Source organism: Homo sapiens, chromosome 11, assembly GCF_000001405.40.
Source record: "Homo sapiens chromosome 11, GRCh38.p14 Primary Assembly".
In the NCBI taxonomy this organism is placed as follows: Eukaryota; Metazoa; Chordata; class Mammalia; order Primates; family Hominidae; genus Homo; species Homo sapiens.
Window position 1 is genome coordinate 96,474,014 of NC_000011.10, and position 25,941 is coordinate 96,499,954.

The 25,941-nt window shown below is 38.2% G+C and overlaps 1 long non-coding RNA gene and 1 pseudogene across 1 annotated transcript in view, besides 1 other annotated feature; both read right to left on the reverse strand.

The window, feature by feature from the left end:
- The window catches only part of JRKL-AS1 (JRKL antisense RNA 1), a 63,596-nt gene that overhangs the window by 30,733 nt on the left and 6,922 nt on the right, over positions 1–25,941 (reverse strand). The gene's annotated exons all lie outside the window — the stretch shown is intronic.
- RNA5SP346 (RNA, 5S ribosomal pseudogene 346) lies at positions 559–679 on the reverse strand (annotated as a pseudogene).
- Positions 13,484–14,278: an enhancer, noted in NCBI's record as "H3K27ac-H3K4me1 hESC enhancer chr11:96220661-96221455 (GRCh37/hg19 assembly coordinates)". NCBI's record gives its function as "activates a minimal SCP1, AML or CMV promoter by ChIP-STARR-seq in naive H9 embryonic stem cells {active_cell/tissue: H9 hESC(naive)}" and the evidence as "EXISTENCE:reporter gene assay evidence [ECO:0000049][PMID:30033119]".

Genomic DNA, 25,941 nt, shown 5'->3' on the forward strand with positions numbered 1-25,941 from the left:
AGAAGAAAGAATTTTAGAACTTGAAGACAGGTCTTTTGAAATAACCCAGTCAGACAAAAATATAGAAAAAGAATAAAAAGCAATGAACAAATTTTGTGTGACATATGGGACACCACAAAGTGAATAAATATTCAAATTTTTGATGTCCCAGAAGGTAAAGAGAAAATAAAAAGGATAGAAACTTATTTAACAAAATAATAACTGAAAACTTTCAAAGTCTAGCAAAGAGATTTAGACACCCAGATAAAAGAAGCTCAGAGATTCCCAAATAAATACAATGCAAAAAGACTTTCTCCAAGGCATATTATAGTCAAACTATCAAAAGACAAAGGCAAAGAGAGAATTCTAAAATCAATAAAAGCATTTAGTCACTCATATGGGAATCCCTATTGTCGGAGGCTTGTGAACCAGAGCAACTCCATGTTGAATAGGTGCTGGGAAAGTAAGGCTAAGACCTGCTGGGCTGCATTCCCAGATGGTGATGGCATTCTAAGTCACAGGATGAAATAGGAGGTTGGCACAAAATACAGGTCATAAAACAAGTTGCTGATAAAACAGGTTAGAAGAAGCCAGCTAACACCCACCAAAATCTCTCATCCAAGTACTAATCAGGCCTGACCCTGCTTAGCTTCCAGGATCAGATGGGATCAGGTGTATTCAGGGTGGTACAGCCATAGAAAAACCCATCAAAATCAAGATGGCCATGAGAGTGACCTCTGGTCATCCTTGTGACTACACTCCCACCAGCACCATGAGAGTTTATAAATGCCATGGCAATGTCAGGAAGTTACCCTATATGGTCTAAAAAGAGGAGGCATGAATAATCCACCCCTTATTAACATATCATCAAGAAATAACCATAAAAATGGGCAACCAGCAGCCCTTGGGGCTGCTCTTTCTATGGAGTAGCCATTCTTTTATTCCTTCACTTTCCTAATAAACTTGTTTTCACTTTACTCTATGGACTCACCCTGAACTCCTTCTTGTGAGATCCAAGGACCCTCTCTTGGGGTCTGGATTGGGACCCCTTTCCTGTAACACTATCAGATTAACAGAGGATTTCTCAGCAGAAACCTTGCAGGACAGGAGAGAATGGGGTGATATATTCATAATACTGAGAAAAACAACAACAACAACAACAATGACAAAACACTGCCAGTCAATGATACTATACCCAGAAAAGTTATTCTTCATAAATTGAGAAATAGTCTTTCCTGGACTAGAAAAACTGAGGGAATTCATCACCACTGGAATGGTCTACAGGAAATGTTTAAGGGAGTCCTATACTTTGAAGCAAAGGGATGATATCTATCATCATGAAAACACACTAAAGTATAAAACCCACAGGTAGAGAAAACACAAACAAGGAAGAGAAAGGACTCAAATATTACAGCTAAAGAAAATCACCAATTTACAATAATAAGCAATAGGATAAAAAGAAAAGTAACAATGGGATATGCCAAAAAATCAGATATTAATAAAATAACAGGAATAAGCCCTGACATATCAAGAATAACCATAAATGTAAATAATTAAGCCTTCTACTTAAAATATATAGAATGAATGAATGGATAAAAAAATTACTCAACTATATGTTGCCTATCAGAAACTCATCTCTCCTGTAAAAACATATATAGTCTGAAAGCAAAGGATAGAAAAAGAAAGCAAAAGTGAGCAAGAGAAGCTATAATTATGTCAGATAAAACAAACTTTAAGACAAAAACAGTAATAACAAGACAAATGTAAAATGACCTTATAAATTTATGAAATTTATTATATAATGGTAAAGGATCAATTCAGCCAGAGGACAAAAAATTATAAACAGAAATGCATCCCAACACCAAAGCACCCAGATATATAAAGCGGATATTATTAGATCTAGACAGAGAGATAGATTCTAATGCAGTAATAGCTGGGGACTTCAACACCTGTCTGTCAGCATTAGACAGATCATCTAGACAGAAAATCAACAACAACAACAAAAAATTGGATTTAAACTGCATTTTAGACCAAATGGACCTAACAAACATTAATAGTACATTTCATCCGACAGCTACATTCTTTTCATCAGCACATAGAACATTCTCCAAAATAGACTACATATTAGGACACAAAACAAGTCTCAACAAATTTTAAGAAATCAAAATCATATCATATTTCTTCTCAGACCCAGTGGAATAAAACTAAAAATCAATACCAACAGGAAATTTGGAAATTGTACAAATACATGGAAGTTAAACACATGCTACTGAACAACCATTGGGTCAAGGAAGAAACTAAGAAGGAAATTTAAAAAAACATTCTTCAAACAAATGAAAATCAAAATTCAACATATCAAAACCTATGGGTTACAGTAAAAGCAGTGCTAAGAGGGACGTGTATAGCAATGAACACCTATATCACAAAGTAGAAAGATTTCTCAAAGAAAAAACCTAACAATACACTTCAAAGGACTAGAAAAGCAAGAGCAAACCAAGCCCAGTATCAGTAGAAGTAATGAAATAATAAAGATCAAAGCAGAACTAAACTAGAGATAAAATAGAAAGGATCAATGAAATGAAAAGTTGGTTTTTTGAAAATGTAAACAAAATTGATAAATTGGTAGCTAGACTGACCAAGAAACAAAAAGAGAATTCTTCTCAAACTATTCAAAAAAATTGAAGAAGAGGGAATTCTGCCTAATTCATTCTATGAAGCCAGCAGTACTCTAATACCAAAACCAGACAAGGATACCATGCACAAAAAAAGCTACAAGTCAATATCCCTGATGAACATAGACACAAAAATTCTCAACAAAAAATGAGCAAACTGAATCCAACAGCACACCATGAAGATAATACACCATGATCAAGTGGTATTTATCTCAGGGATGCAAGGATGGTTCAACATACACAAATCAATAAATGTGATGCACCTTATCAATAAAATGAAGGACAAAAACCATATTTTGTCTTAATAGAAGCAGAAAAAAAATTTGATAAAATTAAACATTCCTTCCTGATGAAAACTCTCAACAAACTAGGCATAGAAGAAACATAGCTCAATATAATAAAGGCCATATATGACAAAATCACAGCTAACATCATAGTGAAGGAGGAAAAACTGAAAGCCTTTCCTCTAAGAACTGGAATAAGATAAGGATGCCCACTTTTACCAATACTATTCAACAAAGTACTGGAAGTCATAGCCAGATCAATCAGGCAAGAGAAAGAAGAAAAACATCTGAATTAGAAAAGAGGCCATCAAATCTTTTCTTTTTGCTCATGATATGATCTTATATCTGGAAAAATGTAAAGGCTCCACCATAAAAATCTTTGATCTGATAAATAAATTCAGTAAAGTTGCAACATATATCAACATATGAAAATTAGTAGCATTTCGATGCACCAATAATAAACTACCTGATTGAAAAATCAAGAAAACAATTCCATTTATAATAAGTAGAAAAAAATTAGGAATATATGTAACCAAGGATGTTAAAGACCTCTACAAGAAAAACTTCAAAATGCTGATGAAAGCAATTGAAGAGGACACAAACAAATGGAAAGACATCTCATACTCATAGATCAGAAGAATTAATATCATGAAAATTGCCATACTACACAAAGAAACCTGCAGATTAAATGTAATCTCTATCAAAATACTAATGCCATTATTCACAGAAATAGATAAAATGATTCTAAAATTCATATGGAACCAAAAAAGAATGCAAATAGCCAAAGCAATCTTGAGGAAAAAGAACAAGGCTGGAGGCATCACACTACCTGACTTTAAAATGTATTACAAGGCTATAGTAACCAAAACAGTATGGTATTGGTATAAAATCAGACACATAGACCAACAGAACAGAATGGAAAACCCAGAAGTATATTCATGTATTTATAGCCAACTGATTTCAACGAAGGTGCCAAGAAGATACTTGGGGAATGAGTACCTTCTTCAATAAGTGGTGCTGGAAATATTGGATGGTTATATGCAGAATAGTGAAACTGGACCCCTATCACTCACCATATGCAAAAACCAAATAAAGATGGTTTAAGTACTTAAATGTACGACCTGAAACTGTAAATCTACTAGAAGAATACATAGGAGAAGCATTTCAGGATATTGTTCTAGGCAAATATTTTATTGCTAAAACCTCAAAAGCACAGGCAACAAAAACAAAATAGGCTAGGGGAAGTGGCTCACGTCTATAATCCCAGCACTGTAGGAGGCCGAGATGGGTGGATCACCTGAGGTCAGGAGTTCGAGACCAGCCTGGCCAACATGGTGAAACCCCTCCTCTACTAAAAATACAAAAATTAGCGGGGCATGGTGGCACGTGCCTGTAATCCCAGCTATTCGGGAGGCTGAGGCAGGAGAATCGCTTGAACCCAGGAGGCAGAGGTTGCAGTGAGCCGAGATTGCGCCATTGCACTCCAGCCTGGGCAACAGAGTGAGACTCCATCTCAAAAAAAAAAAAAAAAAATAGACAAATGGAACTATATTAAACTAAAAGACATCTGCCTAGCAAAAGAAACAATTAACAAAGTGAAAAGACAATCTGTTGAATTGGAGAAAATATTTTGTAAAATATTTGTTTGAGAACATACTAAAATCCAAAACGTGTAAGAAACTCAAACAATTCCACAACCCCAACCACATAGTCTCATTAAAAAGTGGGCAAAAATGTGAATAGACATTTATTAAAAGAAAATTTAAATGCCCAACAGGTATTGAAACAATTCTCAACATCACTAATCATCTGGGAAAGGCAAATCAAAACCACAATGAGATATTATCCCAGTTAGAATGGCTATTAATAAAAAGACAATACATAACAGATGCTGGCAAGGATGCAGAGAAAAGAGAACTCATACACCGTTGCTGGGAATGTAAATTAATATGGCCTCTATGGAAAACAGCATGGCGATCAAAAAACTAAAAATTTTTTTATCAAAAAACTAACAATAGAACTACCATAAGATCCAGCAATTCCACTACTGGTTCTTCATCCAAAGGAAAAGATCAGTGTATCAAAATGATACCTGCACTCTTCTCTTTATTGTAATCTTTGCTGTTTGATTACAATGGTAAAGATATGGAATCAACTTAAGTACCTATCAGGGGACAAATGGATAAGAAAATATGTGGTTTATATGCAAAATAGAATGTGATTTGGCCATAAAAAGAAAGAAATCATGGCACTGGTAAATGGAACTGGTTATTATTATGTTAAGTGAAATAAGCCAGGCACAAATATTGCATGTTCTCATTCGTATGTGGATACTAAAAAAGTTGATGTCATGGAGAGAGAGAATGGAATTATATTTACCAGAGGCTGGGAAGGATGTGTGAGTGCGGGGTGGATAAAAAGAGGTTTATTAATGGGTAAAAACATACAGTTAGAAGGATTAAGTTCTAATATTTGATAGCAGAGCAGGGTGACTATAGTTAACAATGATGTATTGTATTTTTCAAAACAGCTAGAAGAAAGGACTTGATATGTTCCCAATACTTAGAAATGGTAAATTCTTGATTTGATGGACACCCCAAATATCCTAACTTGATCATTGTACAGTCTTCGCATGTAATAAAATATCACAAGTACCCTGTAAATATGTACAAACATTATGTATCAATAAAAAAGAACCACAACAAAAAAGATTCTGAGATATTTGAGAGGAAGTGTCATTTCCTTCTCCCCTAACTGAAAGTGTAGTGTGAAATATATATAAGAAGAAAATAAACACAAAGAATTGTGGACTTTTAGAGTTGAATATTACTTAGAGACCATTTATTTTGCCCATTTAATTATACCTATGTGAAAGTAAAGGCTAAAAGCTGATAACTGCTCACCCAGGCAGCCAATGGCAGAACGAGGCCTATAACCAGGTTTGCTGACTTCCAGGGCAAGTATATTTTTTCCTGCCACATGTCTTTGGTTGGTTGATTGGAAAGCACTGGCTTAAAACAATATTAAGTCTAACAAAGGTGGCCATGTTTTAATGATTAGTTATACATTTCTGCAGTCTGCACAGTGGAATAAAAGATCCTTTTTAATATTAAAGTTTATTTCTTCATTTATCACTGAACACCTCAAAATACCTTAGAGAACTTATCAAGAAGGTCTTAAAACCAGTATATATGATCATTATTAAGGAGAATGGTATATGCTTGTGCTATTAGCTCAATTTTTAAGAGACGAGAAGAACTTAAATAAGAAAAAGTAGTTCAAGGTCGTAAAAATCTATTGTAAATCAGCAGAGAAAAACCAGCTTTATAGTCTGGATTCAGCTGCATACACTTTGCCTGGTCTAAGGGTATAGATTATGTTTTTAGAAATGAAGAAGTGATGTGATTAACATTTCTCTTGTTTAAGATAAAAATAAAAAATGTTGACTTCAGCCATCGATTAATTTTGGGGTGCAGGGGTAAGGGGACTTAGATTCAGCAGGGCCAAGTCAGCTTGTTTTCAACCAAATATCACTAGATGAGCACCATTCTCTGCCCCCTGTGTTCTGGGCTGTCCCTTAACTGCTGGACTAGTATATTCTCTATTATTTTAATCTTTTTTTTAAAAAAAGCTGTTAGCTTTGGTCCATAAATAGATTCTGAGACTCTGAAGTTCTAATAATAACAGCTGATATTTTCTCCTGAGAAATTAAACCATTTTGTGGCTACTATACAAGTCAGTTAAAATTAATTATTCTTCCTTAAATTTGTCCGCATATACGATATGGTGGTGGTACTGCCATTTTAACTCGTAATATGCAACTAATGTTACTTTATACCATTGGTCCTCAACTAGGGACTAGTTTGCTACCCAAGAGTCACTTGGCAATGTTTGGAGACACTGTTGGTTGGCACAACTGGTGGTGCAGGGATGTATGTACCACATGCATCTGGTGGGTAGAGGACAGGGATCCTGCTAAGATCCTACAATGTGCAGGACAGCCCCCAACAAAAAAGAATTATTTGACTAAAAATTTTCATAGTGCTAAAGTTGAGTAATCCTGTTTTATAATTAGGATTTACATAAAGATGTTACCTTATACATATATATAGGAATCATTACTGATAATTTAAATATACATGAATTAATCTACTCTAAATACTGAATGTCAGATACTGTGTTGATCTCACTTGTCACAATCTCTTAATTTGTCAAAGTTATAAGCTGATGTTTTGCTTTCAAGAGGTGTGACGACTCATGAATAGGTCTGCTGTTTTTGTCAAACATAAACATGAATAAGAAGGATTTTGTCAGTATTCCCAATTCTTTGAACCTGTTTTAAGTGATTTTCAGCATTTAGGTCCTAGTGAAAAGTAATTCCACAAACCAGTTTTCATCAAAGCTTAGTAAGTGCTACCTCAGCCCCTGATCTCTGAAACAAGCTTGTGGTAACATGCCAATCCATTGATTTAGTCATTGCTGTTGCAGGACTTCGATGCTAATTCTATTTTTAGTTTCTGTTTGTAGCAACTAGCAAGTATTAATGGAGAAATGAGAGAGAAATAGTCTTTTTTTTTTTTTTTTTTCCAAAGCAAAACTAGTCAGTGGCTCTGTGGCTGCAATTCCCAGTGCACTGTGATTTTGCCTTTAAATGTAATTTCAAAACAGCTGTAATGGCAAATTAGTTTCTTTCTATTAGTTAAGTGATTATACACCAATCAGAATTGAATATACACACTATTAAGTTTATAATTATATTTGAGAATTTCACAGTCCACTTCGTCTTCCTTTAGGACTCCTTGAGCGCTCCCTGATTCACACTTCTTATTGAAGGGAGGGTTTTACCAAATGTTTAAACATGGTAATCTTGGTGGAGAATATTTAAAGTCAGGCTCAAAGCTGAATCGAATGGCTAAGTTTTCAAGGTCTTTTTTACTTAAGCCTTGGTCAGAATCCAGTTTAACAGTGAGTGAAATTGACTGTTGATAGCAGTGACTTGGCTATCTCTATCCATTTCCTAGTGGACAGGACTTTGAATTCCTGCCATCTCCTTGTCATAACAAAAACCAAATATTAAATGAGTTGGCCATGATGCAGTGACCAGATTTAGAGGAAACCCTTTCAAGGTTACACAAATAGCTATAAAGGACTTGGATACTGTTATCTTTTCTGGGAAACAAATTGTGGCAAAAGAGAGTATTTTTTTTTTAGATTTGTTTCTGTTCATGAAACTTAATTTTTATAGCTTTCACTTTTTTTCATAATGCAGCTTGCTGTTACATAAATTCAATTATTTTATTCAAGGAAATTTATTAAGAGCCTCCCATGTTCTTCAATTTGTAATAATTCTATACAGAATAAGCTTGAAGGAGAGCATGGCGCATGTATAAGATTGTTCCTCAATGTCAGCAAGAAAGGACTGTGGCTTGATGGTGAACATGCTGAGGCTCTGGAGTCAGGCAGACCTGTGTACAGAGCCAAGCTCTGGGCTTTATCAGCATGTAACCTTGGAATGTGGCTTAATTTTTCTGAGCCTTGGTTTCCTTATCAATTGAATGGGAAGCAGCATAGTGTAGTAGTCAACAGCAGTGACTCCAAAATCTTACTGCACACATTCGATTATCCATTCCACCACTTGTGCAATATTAGGTAAGTACTAAAACCATTCTAGGCTGCCATTTCCCCATTGAAAAATAGGGTTGAATGTTACTATCCTTTTTTGTTTGTTTGTTTGTTTGAGACAGAATCTCGCTCTGTTGCCAAGGCTGGAGTGCAGAGGTGCGAGCTCGACTCACTGCAAGCTCTGCCTCCCTGGTTCAAGTGATTCTCCTGCCTCAGCCTCCCAAGTAGCTGGGACTACAGGCACGTGCCACCACGCCTGGCTAATTTTTTGTATTTTTAGTAGAGACAGGGTTTCACCGTGGTAGCCAGGATGCTCTCGATCTCCTGACCTCGTGATCCAACCACCTCGGCCTCCCAAAGTGCTGGGATCACAGGCGGGAGCCACCACGCCCCACCGAGAATGTTACCATGCTTTTAAAACATTTAGCAAAATGTGTAGCCCACAGCAGGTTGTCAGTGAATGATAAAGGATCATCTTCATCATCATCTGATTACCATTATCATGAGAAAGGAAATGCTCCATCATTAGAGGAATTGAATCAGAGGCTACTTTCAAGTTAGTGACTAGTATATTCATGCAGACAGTATAGCTTCAATCTAGATTACCTCTTTTGTTATTAAATGAATAACATCTTAATGTTAGAATTTCAGAGCTGTGGCAACTGGGCAGAAATATTTTTAGGCAAGAGCACCTTCCCTCCATGTAGGCAACTACCTCTTCTGGGAATACATGAACTGACACCTGAGAATCCTAATTAACTTTCTTTTACCAAGTTTAAACAGTTCTTTTTTTAAAAAACTTTTCCAAAATCATAGTTGCTCTCCTTTGAATCCACTCCAAATTCCACACATCTCCCTTGAATTAGTTTAGCTACATAGTCCAGAAATGCTGCATGAATTCTTCATGTTACTGCTTCTTTTATTTATGCATCCTGAGAACACATTTTTTTTTTTTTTTCACCAATGACAGAACCATTCTTGACACCTGTTTAGCTTGAGGTCAGCTCTATCTGTAACTCTCTTTTTGTAGCTGCATAATGTCAGCTGTTTCTCATCTGGAGTTTTTGCACTTTGTTTCTCATTTCAAAATGCACTTTTGTGCTGGTTGAAAGTCATTATTTTTATTTCTGCCTCCTTCTGCTGCCAGGGTCATTTGGAAATCTAATTTATCTTCTAAGGGTGAATGACTCACCCTTCTTTTCCACCTCTGGTGGCCATGTCATCTGTGGATGTGATGAAGAGCTTTTTCATCCCTAGATAAGTGATGAAAGAAAATGTTTAAAAGCTGCAGGCACTGGATGGTCTTCTGCATGAATTTTAGTTAAGAGATTTCAGTGACTTAAGCAGCTCAAAATTAATTAAAACAAAAATATTCTTATGAGGTATGGGGATGTCTTAAGTATGTAGACTTAGGAAGCTTATTTGCAGCAATTGAGTGTTGAATATTTAGGTCAGTATATTTGGACTAGTCCTCTGAATGGAAATAAAGGTATTTTCTGTGACACACTATATCAAAGTACTTTACTTAATCAGCAGCTTCTACCATCTGAAACATAAAAGAGAACTAGAAAATAAGCATCCAAAAGTCCTGACTAGAGTGTTTTATGGGCCAGATCTCAAGCACTTTATGCTTAAAAATTGGGAAGGTCTCTAATGACCCATACTAAATCTGTATTTGTTTTTACTTCACCTACTGTTTTAACTATGCCTTTTATTTTCTGTACTTTTCAACTTTGACATCTGCGGCCTTGCTGGCCCTAAAGGGAGTGCTTCTCCCAGGGTTAGCCAATTCCTAGAGAGAATAAATCACTTGCCTTCTTCAGCATGCTTTTCAAATACCAACCAATTAATTCAGAGTCCACAACCTCAATCACCTACTTTACTGAGCTCTCACACTCCAGGTCACTATCCACCTACCCTATCACCCCAGGGCCAGCTACATGACAACTAGGATTGGCCCCTCTGTCCTGGAGTCTGCTGAAATTGTTCAAATTAGACAAAATGAAGCTTGCTTATCCTGCCTTGCCCATTCCTTCCTGTAGAAACTATGATAAAGGATCTTGTCTACAGTTTCCCCCTCCTCCTCTGCTTTTTGACTAGCCCCATGCTAGGTCCCTGCATGGTGTGATGTGCCTTCTCCTCTTGAACACTATGGATCACAAACTATCTTTTCAATGGCAATTGTCCCCTGATCTGTTGGCCTTACCAGAGCTATGTAATAATAAATCTTATTAGAACACAGATAAAAGGTTCAAACTTCCAGTTTCCTAAAATATAGCAGGCACAAGAGTAATAAGCTAGAACAGAAGGGAGGTTCTATAATCACGTATGTTGGTGGTACTATAGGCTGTAACTTATTGGTTGGATAAATAACTTCTTGCCAAGCAATGTAAGCAATATATAAGTGTGACAAACTTAGATGGAAATGAGAACAAGGTAAAATGTGTTCTTTCAGTTTTAAACTTTTTTTTTGGTTTATTATTTTTTTTACACTTTAATCCCTCATCTGTTTCCTTTAATCTCACATTTGAACCCATTTTTGGCATGTGTGCTGCTCTTGGCCATAAAGAAACTCATTCTCATTTTGGTATTACTAGTGATAATGATAACAGCAACAGAAAAATAACTTTAAAATTCCATCATAAGACAAACTTTGTACTGAGAGCATTATATGTTTCTTCATTTGAAACTTGCAATAAACCCTGAAATGTAGATGTTATTTCCTTGTTAGACGAGCAAAGAGACATTTATAGAGGTCATTTTAACTTATGCTAAATTGTCTAGTCAGTTCTAATAGAACCTGGACTCAGGTGTATGCTATCTAATCATCTCTTCTGTGTTACATTGTTCACTACGTTGTATTGAATAGACTCTTTCGGTGGTAGCTTAAAGAGGACAAGGAAGTAGCTAATGTCTGGATGATATGTCCTTTTGTGCTATGAACTCAATGATTTTCTCCTTTGGAAAATTAATTCCTTCTTCTTGCTTTGAAAATGTATTGCTTATATTTCAAATTACACAAATCACAGTTATATTGGAGATAGGTGGATATGTATTGCCAGCTCAACCAGCTTGTAGGCTGCATGGGTGCAGGAACTCTACCTCATCTTTTTATTCTTCAGAGTATTTAGCACAGGGACTTGAGATTATTAATTATACAATAAATATTTGTTGAGTTGATCTGAAGATTAAATGTGTTAATGCATATTACATCTTTTTGTAAGACACTAGCCACATGAAAGACAATATGATTATTTGAGTCATCATATATAGAGAAGGAAGGGAAATAGAGGAGGGCGGGAGGGGGAAACCCACTCCAGAGACTTTAAAATCTCTTTGAGAGTGAAGTCATTAAAATCTGAATATAAAATTTTAATTTAAACTAGAATTTTTCTAGTTGCTCCTAGTGTAGTAGACTTTTCTAAATTTTTACTAAAAACTTTGAGAAGATAAAGGAAAAAAGATGAAACCCTACAGCAATATTGAGAACAAAGACTCACAGAAAAAAATTCAAAATCTGGGAGAAATTTACTCTTACCTAGAGGATAATTGTGCTTCTATTACTTAGATTCAGTTTCAAATAAGAGAATACTCTAATAGTGACTAAAACATGAGGACATTTCTTGTTTGTTTAACAAGTAGCCTGATGTTAGATGTTCTCTGTATACTTCAAGCACCCAACATCACCATCAAGAAATTAGGTTATTTCCATTTATTCTCACTGCATTCTCAATGTGTTGACATTTTGTCCTCAGATTTTTCATCTCATCATCTCAGGATAGCTGCCATAGCTCCAGATACTACATTCTAACACAGAATCATATCAAGCAGGAAGGAAGAGAGAAGGGGCAAAAATAGAACATTTTCTTCTATGTTTCTTTCTTATGTGGAAGGAAAAATACCCCAACCCTAAGTCTTCAGTGGACTTCTCTTTACATCATTGCCTAGAAGTAGGTCAATCATGGCCGGGTGTGGTGGCTCATGCGTGTAATCCCAGCACTTTGGGAGGCCAAGGCAGGCAGAACACGAGGTCAGAAGTTCGAGACCAGTCTGGTCAACATAGTGAAACCCCCTCTACTAAAAATACAAAAAATTAGCCGGGTGTGATGGTGTGCACTTGTAATTCCAGCTACTTGGGAGGCTGAGGCAGGAGAATCATGTGAACCCGGGAGGCAGAGGTTGCAGTAAGCCAAGATCATGCCATTGCACTCCACTCTGGGCGACAAAAAAACAAAAAAAAACAAAAAAAACAAAAGCCGATTGCTGGCAAGATGGCTGAATAGCAACACCTCTGGTCTGCAGCTCCTAGTGAGATCAACACAGAAGGCAGGTGATTTCTGCGTTTCCAACTGAGGTACCCAGTTCATCTTATTGGGACTGATTGGACAGTGGGTGCAGCCCATGGGGGGCAAGCCGAAGCAGGGTGGGGTGTTGCTTTACCTGGAAAGCACAAGGGGTTGGAAAATTTTCTCCCCTCCCCAAGGGAAGCTGTGAGGGACTGAGCCTGTGGAACTGTGCACTCTGGCCCAGATACTGTGCTTTTCCCACGGTCTTCGCAACCTGCAGACCAGGAGGTTCCCTCTGGTGCCTATCCTACCAGGGCCCTGGGTTTCAAGCACAAAACTGGGTGGCCGTTTGGGCAGACAGTGAACTAGCTGCAGGAGTTGTTTTTTTTTTTTTCCCATACCCCAGTGGCGCCTGGAATGCCAGCGAGACAGAACTGTTCACTCCCCTGGAAAGGGGTGCTAAAGCCAGGGAGCCGAGTGGTCTGGCTCAGCGGTTCCCATCCCCAAGGAGCCCAGCAAACTAAGATCCACTGTCTTGAAATTCTCACTGCCAGCACGGCAGCAGTCTGAGATCAACCTGGGACGCTCAAGCTTGGTGGAGGGAGGGGTATCTGCCATTGCTGAGGCTTGAGTAGGCAGTTTTACCGTCACAGTGTAAACAAAGCCTCCGGGAAGTTCAAAGTGGGTGGAGCCCACTGCAGCTCAGCAAGGCCACTGTGGCCAGACTGCCACATTTCTCCTCTCTGGGCAGGGCAGCTCTGAAAAAAAGGCAGCATCCCCAGTCAGGGATTTATAGATAAAACCCCCATGACCCTGGGACAGAGCACCTGGGGGAAGGGGTGGCTGTGGGCACAGCTTCAGCAGACTTAAACACCCCTGCCTGCTGGCTCTGAAGAGAGCAGCAGACCAGCACGCATTCGAGCTCTGCTAAGGGTCAGGCTGCCTCCTCAAGTGGGTCCCTGATCCCCAAGTCTCCTGACTGGGAGACACCTCCCAGTAGAGGACAAGAGACACCTCATACAGGAGAGCTCTGGCTAGCATCTGGCAGGTGCCCCTCTGGGATGAAGCTTCCAGAGGAAAGAACAGGCAGCAATCTTTGATGTTCTGCAGGCTCCACTGGTGATAACCAGGCAAAGAGGGTCTGGAGTGGACCTCCAGCAAACTCGAGCAGACCTGCAGCAGAGGGGCCTGACTGTTAGAAGGAAAACTGACAAACAGAAAGGAATAGCATGTCCACTCAAAGACCCTATCCTAAAGTCACCAACATCAAAGACCAAAGGTACACAAATCCACAAAGATGGGGAGAAACCAGAACCAGAGTTCTAACACATGAGAGGAAGCTAAGAACCTTGAAAAAAGGTTAGAGGAATTGCTAACTAGAATAACCAGTTTAGAGAAGAACATAAATGACCTGATGGAGCTGAAAAACACAGCAAGAGAACTTCATGAAGCATACACAAGTATCAGTAGCTGAGTTGATCAAGCAGAAGAAAGGATATCAGAGATTGAAGATCAACTTAATGAAATAAAGCTAGAAGACAAGATTAGAGAAAAAAGAATAAAAGGAATGAACAAAGCCAAAGCAATATAGGACTATGTGAAAAGACCAAATCTACATTTGATTGGTGTACCTGAAAGTGATGGGGAGAATGGAACCAAGTTATAAAACACTCTTCAGGATATTATTGAGGAGAACTTCTCCAACCTAGGAAGGCAGGCCAACATTCAAATTCAGGAAATACAGAGAACACCACAAAGATACTCCTTGAGAAGAGCAACCCCAAGACACATAATTGTCAGTTTCACCAAGGTTGAAATGAAGGAAAAAATGTTAAGGGCAGCCAGAGAGAAAGGTCGGGTTACCCACAAAGGGAAACCCATCAGACTAACAGCAGATCTCTCGGCAGAAACCCTACAAGCCAGAAGAGAGTGGGGGACAATATTCAACATTCTTAAAGGAAAGATTTTTCAACCCAGAATTTCATATCCAGCGAAACTAAGCTTCATAAGCAAAGGAGAAATAAAATCCTTACAGACAAGCAAATGCTGAGAGATTTTGTCACCACCAGGCCTGCCTTACAAGAGCTCCTGAAGGACGCACTAAACATGGAAAGGAACAACCAGTACCAGCCACTGCAAAAACATACCAAATTGTAAAGACCATTGACAATATGAAGAAACTGCATCAACTAACGGGCAAAATAACCAGCTAGCATCATAATGACAGGATCAAATTCACACATAACAATATTTACCTTAAATGTAAATGGGCTAAATGCTCCAATTAAAAGACACAGACTGGCAAATTGGATAAAGAGTCAAAACCCATCAGTGTGCTGTGTTCAGGAGACCCATCTCACGTGCAAAGACACACATAGGCTCAAAATAAAGGGATGGTGGAATATTTACCAAGCAAATGGAAAGCAAAAAAAAGCAGGAGTTGCAATCCTAATTTCTGATAAAACAGACTTTAAACCAACAAAGATTAAAAGAGACAAGGCCATTACATAATGGTAAAGGGATCAATGCAACAAGAAGAGCTAACTCTCCTAAATATATATGCACCCAATGCAGGAGCACCCAGATTCATAAAGCAAGTTCTTAGGGACCTACAAAGAGACTGAGCCACCCTCACAATCATAGCAGGAGAGCTTAACACCCCACTGTCAATATTAGACAGATCAATGAGACAGAAAATTAGCAAGGATATTCAGGACTTGAACTCAGCTCTGGAACAAGCAGACCTAATAGACATCTATGGAACTCTCCACCCCAAATCAGCAGAATATACATTCTTCTCAGCACCACATCACACTTATTCTAAAATTGGCCACATAATTGGAAGTAAAACAGTCCTCAGCAAATGCAAAACAATGGAAATCATAACAGTCTCTCAGACCACAGTGCAATCAAATTAGAACTTGGGATTAAGAAACTCACTCAAAACCACACAACTACATGGAAACTGAACAACCTGCTCCTGAATGACTACCGGGTAAATAATGAAAAGAAGGCAGAAATAAAGATGTTCTTTGAAACCAATGAGAACGAAGATACGAACATACCAGAATCTCTGGGACACACTTAAAGCAGTCTGTAGAGGGAAACTTATAGCACTAAATGACCACAAGAGAAAACAGGAAAGATCTAAAATTGACACCCTAACATCAAAATTAAAAGAACTAGAGAAGCAACAGCAAACAAATTCAAAAGCTGGCAGAAGACAAGAAATAACTAAGATCAGAGCAGAACTGAAGGAGGTAGAGACATGAAAAACCCTTCAAAAAATCAATTAATCTAGGATCTAGTTTTTTGTAAAGGTCAACAAAATATATAGACCGCTAGCCAGACTAGTAAAGAAGAAAAGAGAGAAGAATCAAATAGACACACTAAAAAATGACATATGGGATATCACCACTGATCCCACAGAAATACAAGCTACCTTCAGAGAATACTATAAATACCTCTATGGAAATAAACTAGAAAATCTAGAAGAAATGGATAAATTTCTGGACACCTACACCATCCCAAGTCTAAACCAGGAAGAAGTCAAATCCCTGAATAGACCAATAAGAAATTCTGAAATTGAGGCTGTAATTAATAGCCTACCAACCAAAAAAAGTCCAGGACCAGACAGATTCACAGCTGAATTCTACCAGAGGTACAAAGAGGAGCTGGTACCATTCCTTCTGAAACTATTCCAATCAATAGAAAAAGAGAGAATCCTCCCTAACTCATTTTATGAAGGATGCATCATCCTGTTACCAAAACCTGGTAGAGACACAATAAAAAAAGAAAATTTCAGGCCAATATCCCTGATGGACATCGATGTGAAAATCTGCAATAAAATACTGGCAAACTGAATCCAGCAGCACATCAAAAAGCTTATACACCACGATCAAGTTGGCATCATTCATCCCTGGGATGCAAGGGTGGTTCAACATACGCAAATCAATAAATGTAATCCATCACATAAACAGAACCAATGACCAAAACCACATGATTATCTCAATAAATGCAGAAAAGGCCTTTGACAACATTCAAAACCACTTCATGCTAAAAACTCTCAATAAACTAGGTATCAGTGGAACATATCTCAAAATAATATGAGATATTTATGATGAGCCCACAGCCAATATCATACTGAATGGGCAAAAACTGGAAGCATTCCCTTTGAAAACTGGCACAAGACAAGGATGCCCTCTCTCGCCACTCCTATTCAACATAGTATTGGACGTTCTGGCCAGGGCAATCAGGCAAGAGAAAGAAATAAAAGGTATTCAAATAGGAAGAAAGGAAGTCAAATTATCTGTGTTTACAGATGACATGATTGTATATTTAGAAAACCCCATCATCTCAGCCCAAAATCTCCTTAAGCTAATAAGCAACTTCAGCAAAGTCTCAGGACACAAAATCAATGTGCAAAAATCACAAGCATTCCTCTACACCAATAACAGACAAACAGAGAGCCAAATCATGAGTGAACTCCCATTCACAATTGCCACTAAGAGAATAAAATATCTAGGAATCTAACTTACAAGGGATGTGAAGGACCTCTTCAAGGAGAACTACAAACCACTGCTCAAGGAAATAGAGAGGACACAAACAAATGGAAAAACATTCCATGCTCATGGATAGGAAGAATCAATATCGTGAAAATGGTCATAGTGCCCAAAGTAATTTATAGATTCAATACTATCCACATCAAGCTACCATTGAATTTCTTCAAAGAACTGGAAAAAATTATTTTAAACTTCATATGGAAGGAAAAAAGAGCCCGCATAGCCAAGACAATCCTAAGCAAAAAGAACAAAGCTCCAGGCATCACACTACCTGACTTCAAACTACACTACAAGGCTACAGTAACCAAAATAGCATGGTACTGGTACCAAAACAGATATACAGACCAATGGAACAGAACAGAGGCCTCAGAAATAATACCACACATCTTCAGCCATCTGATCTTTGACAAACCTGATACAAGCAAGCAATGGGGAAAAGATTCCCTATTTAATAAATAGTGCTGGGAAAATTGGCTAGCCATATGCAGAAAGCTGAAACTGGACCCCTTTCTTACACCTTATACAGAAATCAACTCAAGATGGATTAAAGACTTAAACTTAAGACCTAAAACCATAAAATCCTAGAAGAAAACCCGGACAATACCATTCAGGACATAGGAATGGGCAAAGACTTCATGTCTTAAACACCAACAGCAATGGCAACAAAAGACAAAATTGACAAATGGGATCTAATTAAACTAAAGAGCCTCTGCATAGCAAAAGCAACTATCATCAGAGTGAACAGGCAACCTACAGAATGGGAGAAAATTTTTGCAATCTACCCATCTGACAAAGGGCTAATATCCAGAATCTACAAAGAACTTAAACAAATTTACAAGAAAAAAATCAAACAACCCCATCAAAAATTGGGCAAAGGATATGAACAGACACTTCTCAAAAGAAGACGTTTATGCAGCCAACAGACACATGAAAAAATGCTCATCATCACTGGTCATCAGAGAAATGCAAATCAAAATCACAATGAGATAACATCTCATGCCAGTTAGAATGGCTATCATTAAAAAGTCAGGAAACTACAGTTGCTGGACAGGATGTGGAGAAATAGGAACGCTTTTACACTGTTGGTGGGACTGTAAACTAGTTCAACCATTGTGGAAGACAGTGTGGCGATTCCTCAAGGATCTAGAACTAGAAATACCATTTGACGCAGCCATCCCATTACTGGGTATATACCCAAAGGATTATAAACCATGGTACTATAAAGACACTTGCACATGTATGTTTATTGAGGCACTATTCACAATAGCAAAGACTTGGAACCAACCCAAATGTCCATCAATGATAGACTGGATTAAGGAAATGTGGAACATATACACCATGGAATACTATGCAGCCATAAAAATGATGAGTTCATGTCTTTTGTAGGGACATGGATGACGCTGGAAACCATCATTCTCAGCAAACTGTCACAAGGACAGAAAACCAAACACCGCATGTTCCCACTCATAGGTGGGAGGTGAACAATGAGAACACATGGACACAGGGAGGGAAACATCACATACTGGGGCGTGTAGGGAGGTGGGTGGCTAGGGGAAGGATAGCATTAGGAGAAATACCTAATGTAGGTGACGGGTTGATGCGTGCAGCAAACCATCATGGTACATGTATACCTATGTAAAAAAACTACACATTCTGCACATGTACCCCAGAACTTAAGGTATTAAAAAAAAGAAGTGGGTCCATCACTTTCAAAGATAAATAGATTTTTTTGTGACCAATAATTAGTCTAGGGATAGGCACATTATCACATATGTGTACACAAACACACACACACACACACACGCACACACACACACACAGTCATGGTTCCTTTGGAAATGAAGAATGCGAATATGGCTACTATGTCAACAAACAACAGTATCTGTCATAAAACTAGATTAAGAAAATAATTTTGTCTGCCACATGCTTTGCTTCATGAAACAGAGCAGCCCCTTCTATCTGAAGAATGTTAGAAGCTACTTGTTTTCCACTCTGAAATGTGCCCCTGGAGAGAGAATCTGGACCAGTGACTACCAGAAAACTGAGCACTGGCTCCTCCATTATAAAGATATTCTGTTTGAGACTGTCATTTATCTGATTCACCCATAATTCTGTATTCCCATGCACCATTTTACTATATTTTTAAAAAAGACTGCAACTTTGAGAAGATAACAGGGCAGAATGTGGAAGAAACTAACAATGATCTCTTATATTCTGGGAAGTATAGTTTTCACAAATAATAGATTGCATTTAGGATAGGAATTGATTGAAAACAGTGCCTTCTGAAGATTACAGTTTTTTTCATGAACTTCATAATTAGAACATCATACTGTGTCATAATCTGAATTTCCATCTTCTGTTCATTAAAACCAGTGGCAGTATGGATGAAAGCATGCTACATCCTGGGAATTGAATATATTTAGGAATATATTATGTTCAGTATTAATATTTAAGAAGACAGTTTGCCCAAAGAACACAAAAATTAACAGTGAACTAATCCAGTGACATCTATACACTTTTTCTATTATCGGTTCTTTCTTCTTACTCAAGACAAGAAATAATCCGTATCATTTATATGTAGATAATACAAAGCAAGGAAAAGGAAAGAAAATTTAGAAAGAACATAGTTTTGAAAATGATCTACTATAGGTAACAAAAGAATAACTTAAAAATTCTTGTTCTTAATATTATAGTTCTTGACATAGGAGTAGTCATAAGAAGAGAACAGTTGAGATGGTTGATCTGAGGAAGGATTGCAAGGACACATTTTAATATCATCTTCTTGGGCAAAGCTTGATGCTCCTGTGTTTCGCTTAACTGATCCTCTTCTACATCCTCATGTTTTATAACGCTAGGAAATGTATTTTTTTTTTTTTAGCTATATCTGTTGTAACACAATTTAGGTGAAATCTCTTCACTTTTTGGATGAAAAGCTAATAAAACATTTGTTAAAATAGCCAGAGGTTTTACAAATTTAGGATACTATGGGAGGAGAATTTAATTCAAAATATATCAGTAAGGACATGTTAATTTATGTTACAGTAAAAAATAATCCCTAATTTTCAGTAGGTTAAAATTACAGAGTTTGATTTCTCACTCATACCACATGTCCATCTTGGGTGGGCAAGGGGGACTTTGCAAGAAAAGATCCTATTTCAGGATCTAGGCTGGTAAAACAGTCACTACTGGGACATTGCCAGCCATCCTGGAAGAGGGAAAAATTACCTTTGGATGGTCATGTCTAGGCACTTAAGTGTTCTGACACAGAAGTGATTCGTGTTACTTTTATTTACAACTTATTTGCCAGATCGAGTTTTATAGCCTAATCCAACCAGATGAAAGCCAGGCATATAATTCTACTTGTGACTGGACAGTGGGAAATTAGAAATCTACAGTGAATTCACTCAAGACAATCACAATCTACCTATTTGGTTCCAAATATTTGCTTTATTCTTTCTTGCAAGCAACATATATTCTCTGTCTTCCCATTGGAGAAAATAGAAAAGTTTTATCCATTCATAACATCAAATCAGAGTCTAGGATTTTTGATAATTCATGGTGGTTTCTAAATTGCAGAGATGAGAGCAGAGCCACAGGTCCAGATGTGGCTCCTGCTATCCATAGATCTGTGAACTAAAAAGAATAATTAGTCTGTTTCTCCCAACCTAATATACAATGATTGAGCAGGATAAATAAAGTAAACATTCTTGTTTGGAAGTGGAAAGTAAGGAAGATTCACAGTAGTTACTGATTCATAGCAATTTGTAAATTCTACTAGGGATAATTTTCAAGGGCCTGCTATTCTGAGGATAACAAATATTCTTTTTCTCAGTTCTGATTCTGCTAGGAGAGAAGCTCCCCAGTCCATTGTTCTTTGTAGCTCTTAGTTCTATTCTCTTTGAGGTTCTTCCTTTCCAATTATTCTCTTTGACTGTGTCTAGAATGGGGATTAGAGAATATGCTTTCCCTTTGTTTAAGCTGCTTATCGGTTGTTTTCTTTTGCATAGGAAGTTAGAAATCCAAAAGTCATTTTAAGTCTTGAAGTTTCAATATTTTCTCCTCCCCCTCCTTCTCCTCCTCCTCCTTTTCCTTCTTTGCCTCCTTCTCCACATACCTCTAATTTATTTGGGATTATAAATGTTTGAAAAACTTAGCAGGCTTCTTACTTATTTGCTTCTAGTCTATTTGTCCATAGAAATACTCACAGTATGTGAGTATGTGCATATGTACATATATATTTTTGACTTGGAGGGAGTGACAGACTTCAGGCTTTTTTCTTTTTTTTTCTTGAGCAATTTTGAACAATTGAAGGGATTTATTGGGTTTCATCTTAATCTATCTAAAGACTTTTAACAATAAGTGTAAGGGCACTTCCTTGTTTTTGTACTTTTAGACTGAGTTTTATCTAAGCATTGTTTCTCAGAGTGTGTCTCCATTTTATTTTTTCCTCTTCAGGACTGAGAAACACTTGCCTCTTCCAACTCTATGGGTCCCTAAATTTGTGGTTTCTCTCTATTCTCTGTTATTCCTGCTCACAGCTGAACCAGTTCTATTCTGAGCCCATCTTTTCCTTTTAATACTTTGCAAAGTGCAACAAACAGCAGCTGGGACACATTGCTAATGCTCCAATTTGTCCCTCAGAAATACAAGTTCATCAGGTGCAGGATCTGCTTTATAAATTATTGCAGTCAATGTGTGGTGGTAAATGTTTAATAGCCAGCTCTCCAGGAAAACAAAAGCAAAAACTCCATGATTTATGGTGCTCCCAATTTCAGTGGTATAAATTCTTCTATTATGATGGATCCAAGTTAACAACATCACATCATAAAACTTGGAGTTGGGAAGAGATACTCACAATTAGCTGTCTTGGGCATAAACCAGCTCTAGCACACCACTGAATACAGGTGATTATTTTATCAAAAGCATTGCCATTGCTTAATATGGAGCATCATCCTTCCATGTTTCTCACAACAGGCTGTCTAGCCCAAAGCCAAAGCCACATATTTTGGATTTTTTTAATGGCAACTCCCCACTTCTCAGTACCAATTTAGGTATTAGTTAGTATAGACTATGTTATGCCACAGTAGCAAACAAAGCCAAAATCTCAGTGCCTTAAAACAAGAAAGGTTTATTTCTCACACATACTGCCATGCCCATCACAGGATGTCTAGGGCCTATGCTTCACACGTCCATACTGCAGGACCCAGGCAGTTAGAGCAGCCATCACCTGGAACATAGCAGATGTTCCAGCCTCATGGAGAGGGAAAGAGAACCCTGGAGGGTTTGGTACTGGCAACTAAATGAATTGTTCTCAGAAATGATGTGTACCACTTCTCTCCACAATTCATTGGCCAGAATTAGTGGCAAGACCACAAAAAGAAAAGAAAAGAGGAAAGAAAGTGTGAACCTACCATGTACCTGAAAGGCAAAGAACAGAAAATATTTGGCAGTTGGCACTAATGGCTATCACAACTCTGTAACAGTAGAGGTGTCTACAGCCACACAATTTGTGCAACTTGCCAAGCAACTAGAGTAGTGTTTTTCTTGTTTATTTTTTTGTATCTTATATAGAAGATTTTAATCAGTAAAGACTAAGAAAATACACAATAACAGCAATTATTTTAATTTTTAAATTTTTTTTGAGATGGAGTCTCGGTCTGTCAACCAGGCTGGAGTTCAGTGGCTTGATCTCAGTTTACTGAAGCCTCCTTCTCCCAGGTTCAAGCGATTCTCCTGCCTCAGCCTCCCAAATAGCTAGGATTACAGGCACCCACCACCACGCCCAGCTAATTTTTTGTATTTTTAGTAGAAATGGTTTTCACCATGTTGGCCAGGCTGGTCTCGAACTCCTGACCTCAAGTGATCCACCTGCCTTGGCCTCCCAAAGTGCTGGGATTACAGGCGTGAGTCACTGCTCCCTGCCAAGCAATTATTTTTTTTTACTAAGCTCTTCTTTATATCATGATCCAATAAAGGTTTTTGAATATTCCTACTGTAACTGACTAAAATTAGGATATATTATATAATAGCTAGTAGATTAAACACAAACACAAACATCCACATACACACACATGCACATTCATGAAATATCATAAGAAAATAAGAAAATTGCTGTCATAGAAATCTCTGAGTGATGCGTTCCTGAGTTTCTTTTATTTTACCTTTTATCCAATTTTATGTAAGCTTAGAATTTTGCAGCAACAAACATAATTTCCTTTATAATGAGAAAAAATCAGATATTAAAAATTTATATAATTTTTAAATGATATATATTAATTCAGCTATGTAAAAATATAATCAGAATTGAAAAATTTAGATGGAAGGATATCAAAATATTCTCAGTGGTTGTTCCTGAGTGGTGGGATTAGGTGTGATTCAAAAAATATATTTGTCTTTTCCTTTTTCAGATTTGCTACAATGATGAGATATTGTTTATATTGTTATAATAATTTAAAAATGACAAATGAGGCACCTTTTTATTTCTTCTTTTCATAATAATTAATTGTAATTTCATTTTTATGAAAAATTGTCTTTTTCACCAATGCTTCTGCTATTATGTTTATACGTATTATGTCTATTGTCATTTTCATTTTCAATGAAGATATATATATACATACATATATGTATATATATATACACATATATCCCTCTGCATTAGTCCATTCTCACATTCCTATAAAGAAATACCTGAGACTGGGTAATTTATAAAGAAAAGATGTTTAATTGGCTCATGGTTCTGCAGGCTGTGCAGGAAGCATGATGCTGGCACCTGCTCAGCTTCTGGGGAGGCCTTAGGAAACTTACAATCATGGCAGAAGGTGAAGGGGGAGCTGGCAATTCACATGGCTGGAGCAGGAAGAAGGCAGAGACAGGGAAGGTGCCACACACTTTAAAACAACCAGATATCAAAAGAACTCACTATCGTGATGATAGCACCAAGAGAGGATAGTGCTAAACCGCAAGAAACCGTTCCCATGATCCAATGACCTCCCACCAGGCCCACCTCCAGCACTGGAGATGACATTTCTATGTGAGATTTGGGTGGGTTTCTTTTGAGAAGCCTATCCCAAGCCAGCAGGATGGGCTGGCCACTGAACATCAAGACTCAGGTCAAATGTCCTCTATTCAGAGGATTTCCTCGACTACCCAATTAATCTAGAAAAATACTTGTCAGGCATTTCCTTTCATGTTTGCTTTGATTTATAAAGCTTACCACTCTTTAAAATCATCTTATCTGCTTATGTTTACTTGATTTGAATTTATCTCCCTCTTAGAATGTCAGTTTCATGAGAGCAGGCTCCCTCTCTGTCTTGTTCTCCACTGTATTCTTAACACTTAGATCAGTGCCTGGCACATAATAAGTGTTAGTCCGAACTGCACCATTTTGTAAACCACCCACTATTTTGCAGACCTTGGTCAAAGTGAAACATTCATGGGGGTTCTGGCTGTGAGAAACATCCTGCCTAACACCTGCCTACAAGTCAGACAAAGGCCCAACTAAAGAAATATCCCTATCATATTCTGTTGGGAGAAAGTGCAAAGAAACACCATGTTCCACCAGAAAAAGGGCCAGAACTGCCTCATCATGGGAACATCTTATCAATATCCTGCTGAGCAGCAAGCCATATGGCCCAGACCCCTCCCGCTCAAACCTTTAAGTACCCCAGCCTGTAAGTGGAGGTGGGCTCTGGCATTAAGCTGGTCTCCCACTTCCATAGGTGTCTGCAATATACTTGTATTGCTGTTTGAGCCGCCCTGTGTGTGTCTTTCTTTAACCCTCGCCTTCCCTTTAAAACCTAACATTTTGGTGCCAAAGCCAGGGATGGGGATTGGGTTCTAACGCGTAAGTCTTCTCTTGCTACCTGGAAAGCAGCAAGCGGCAAAAGCTGGCCCCGGGCCCGCCTCCAGGTCCTGAGGGAACTCCCTGTTCCCAGCCCCATTCCCTTGTTCTCTCTTCTTCTCCAGCCCTGGGCTAACCTCCAGATCCTGATCAAACTCTCCATCTTCTTTTTCCTTCCTTCCCCTTTCTGGGCAGCTCCAACAAGGATCACCCCCATTGCTGGACATCACAACCCAAACTGGTCTCCAATTAGTGGGCAAGTCTTCCTTCTCCTCCTGTCCTGATTACTCACATATTCCTGCCTGTTGACAGAAAATCCCAGCGCTGGGTGAGAGGTCTCTCTGGTCATCAGGTGACCGTGGCCTGCCTTCTCAGGGGACGCCCTCACGATGTTCGCCGCTCCGGCCACTCCAGTCTCCAGGGAAACGCAAAGAGCTGCAGGGATGCTCTGGCTCTCCCGTTTCCCTTCTAACAGGAGGAATTGGGGTACTCGCTCCCCTCCTCTAAGTTTCTCACCCTTCTGGCCACCAGTATGGGGCAAGGCTCTTCAAAACCTCCTCGAGACACCACTCTGGATGTCTCGTCTGGAACCTCCAAACCCAGGGCTTGGCGAACTCCATTAAAACCGAATGCCGTATTCACTCCTCTCGTATGTCTCCTGCAGGACCTATGAGCCCAGGGCTTGGTGGACTCTAT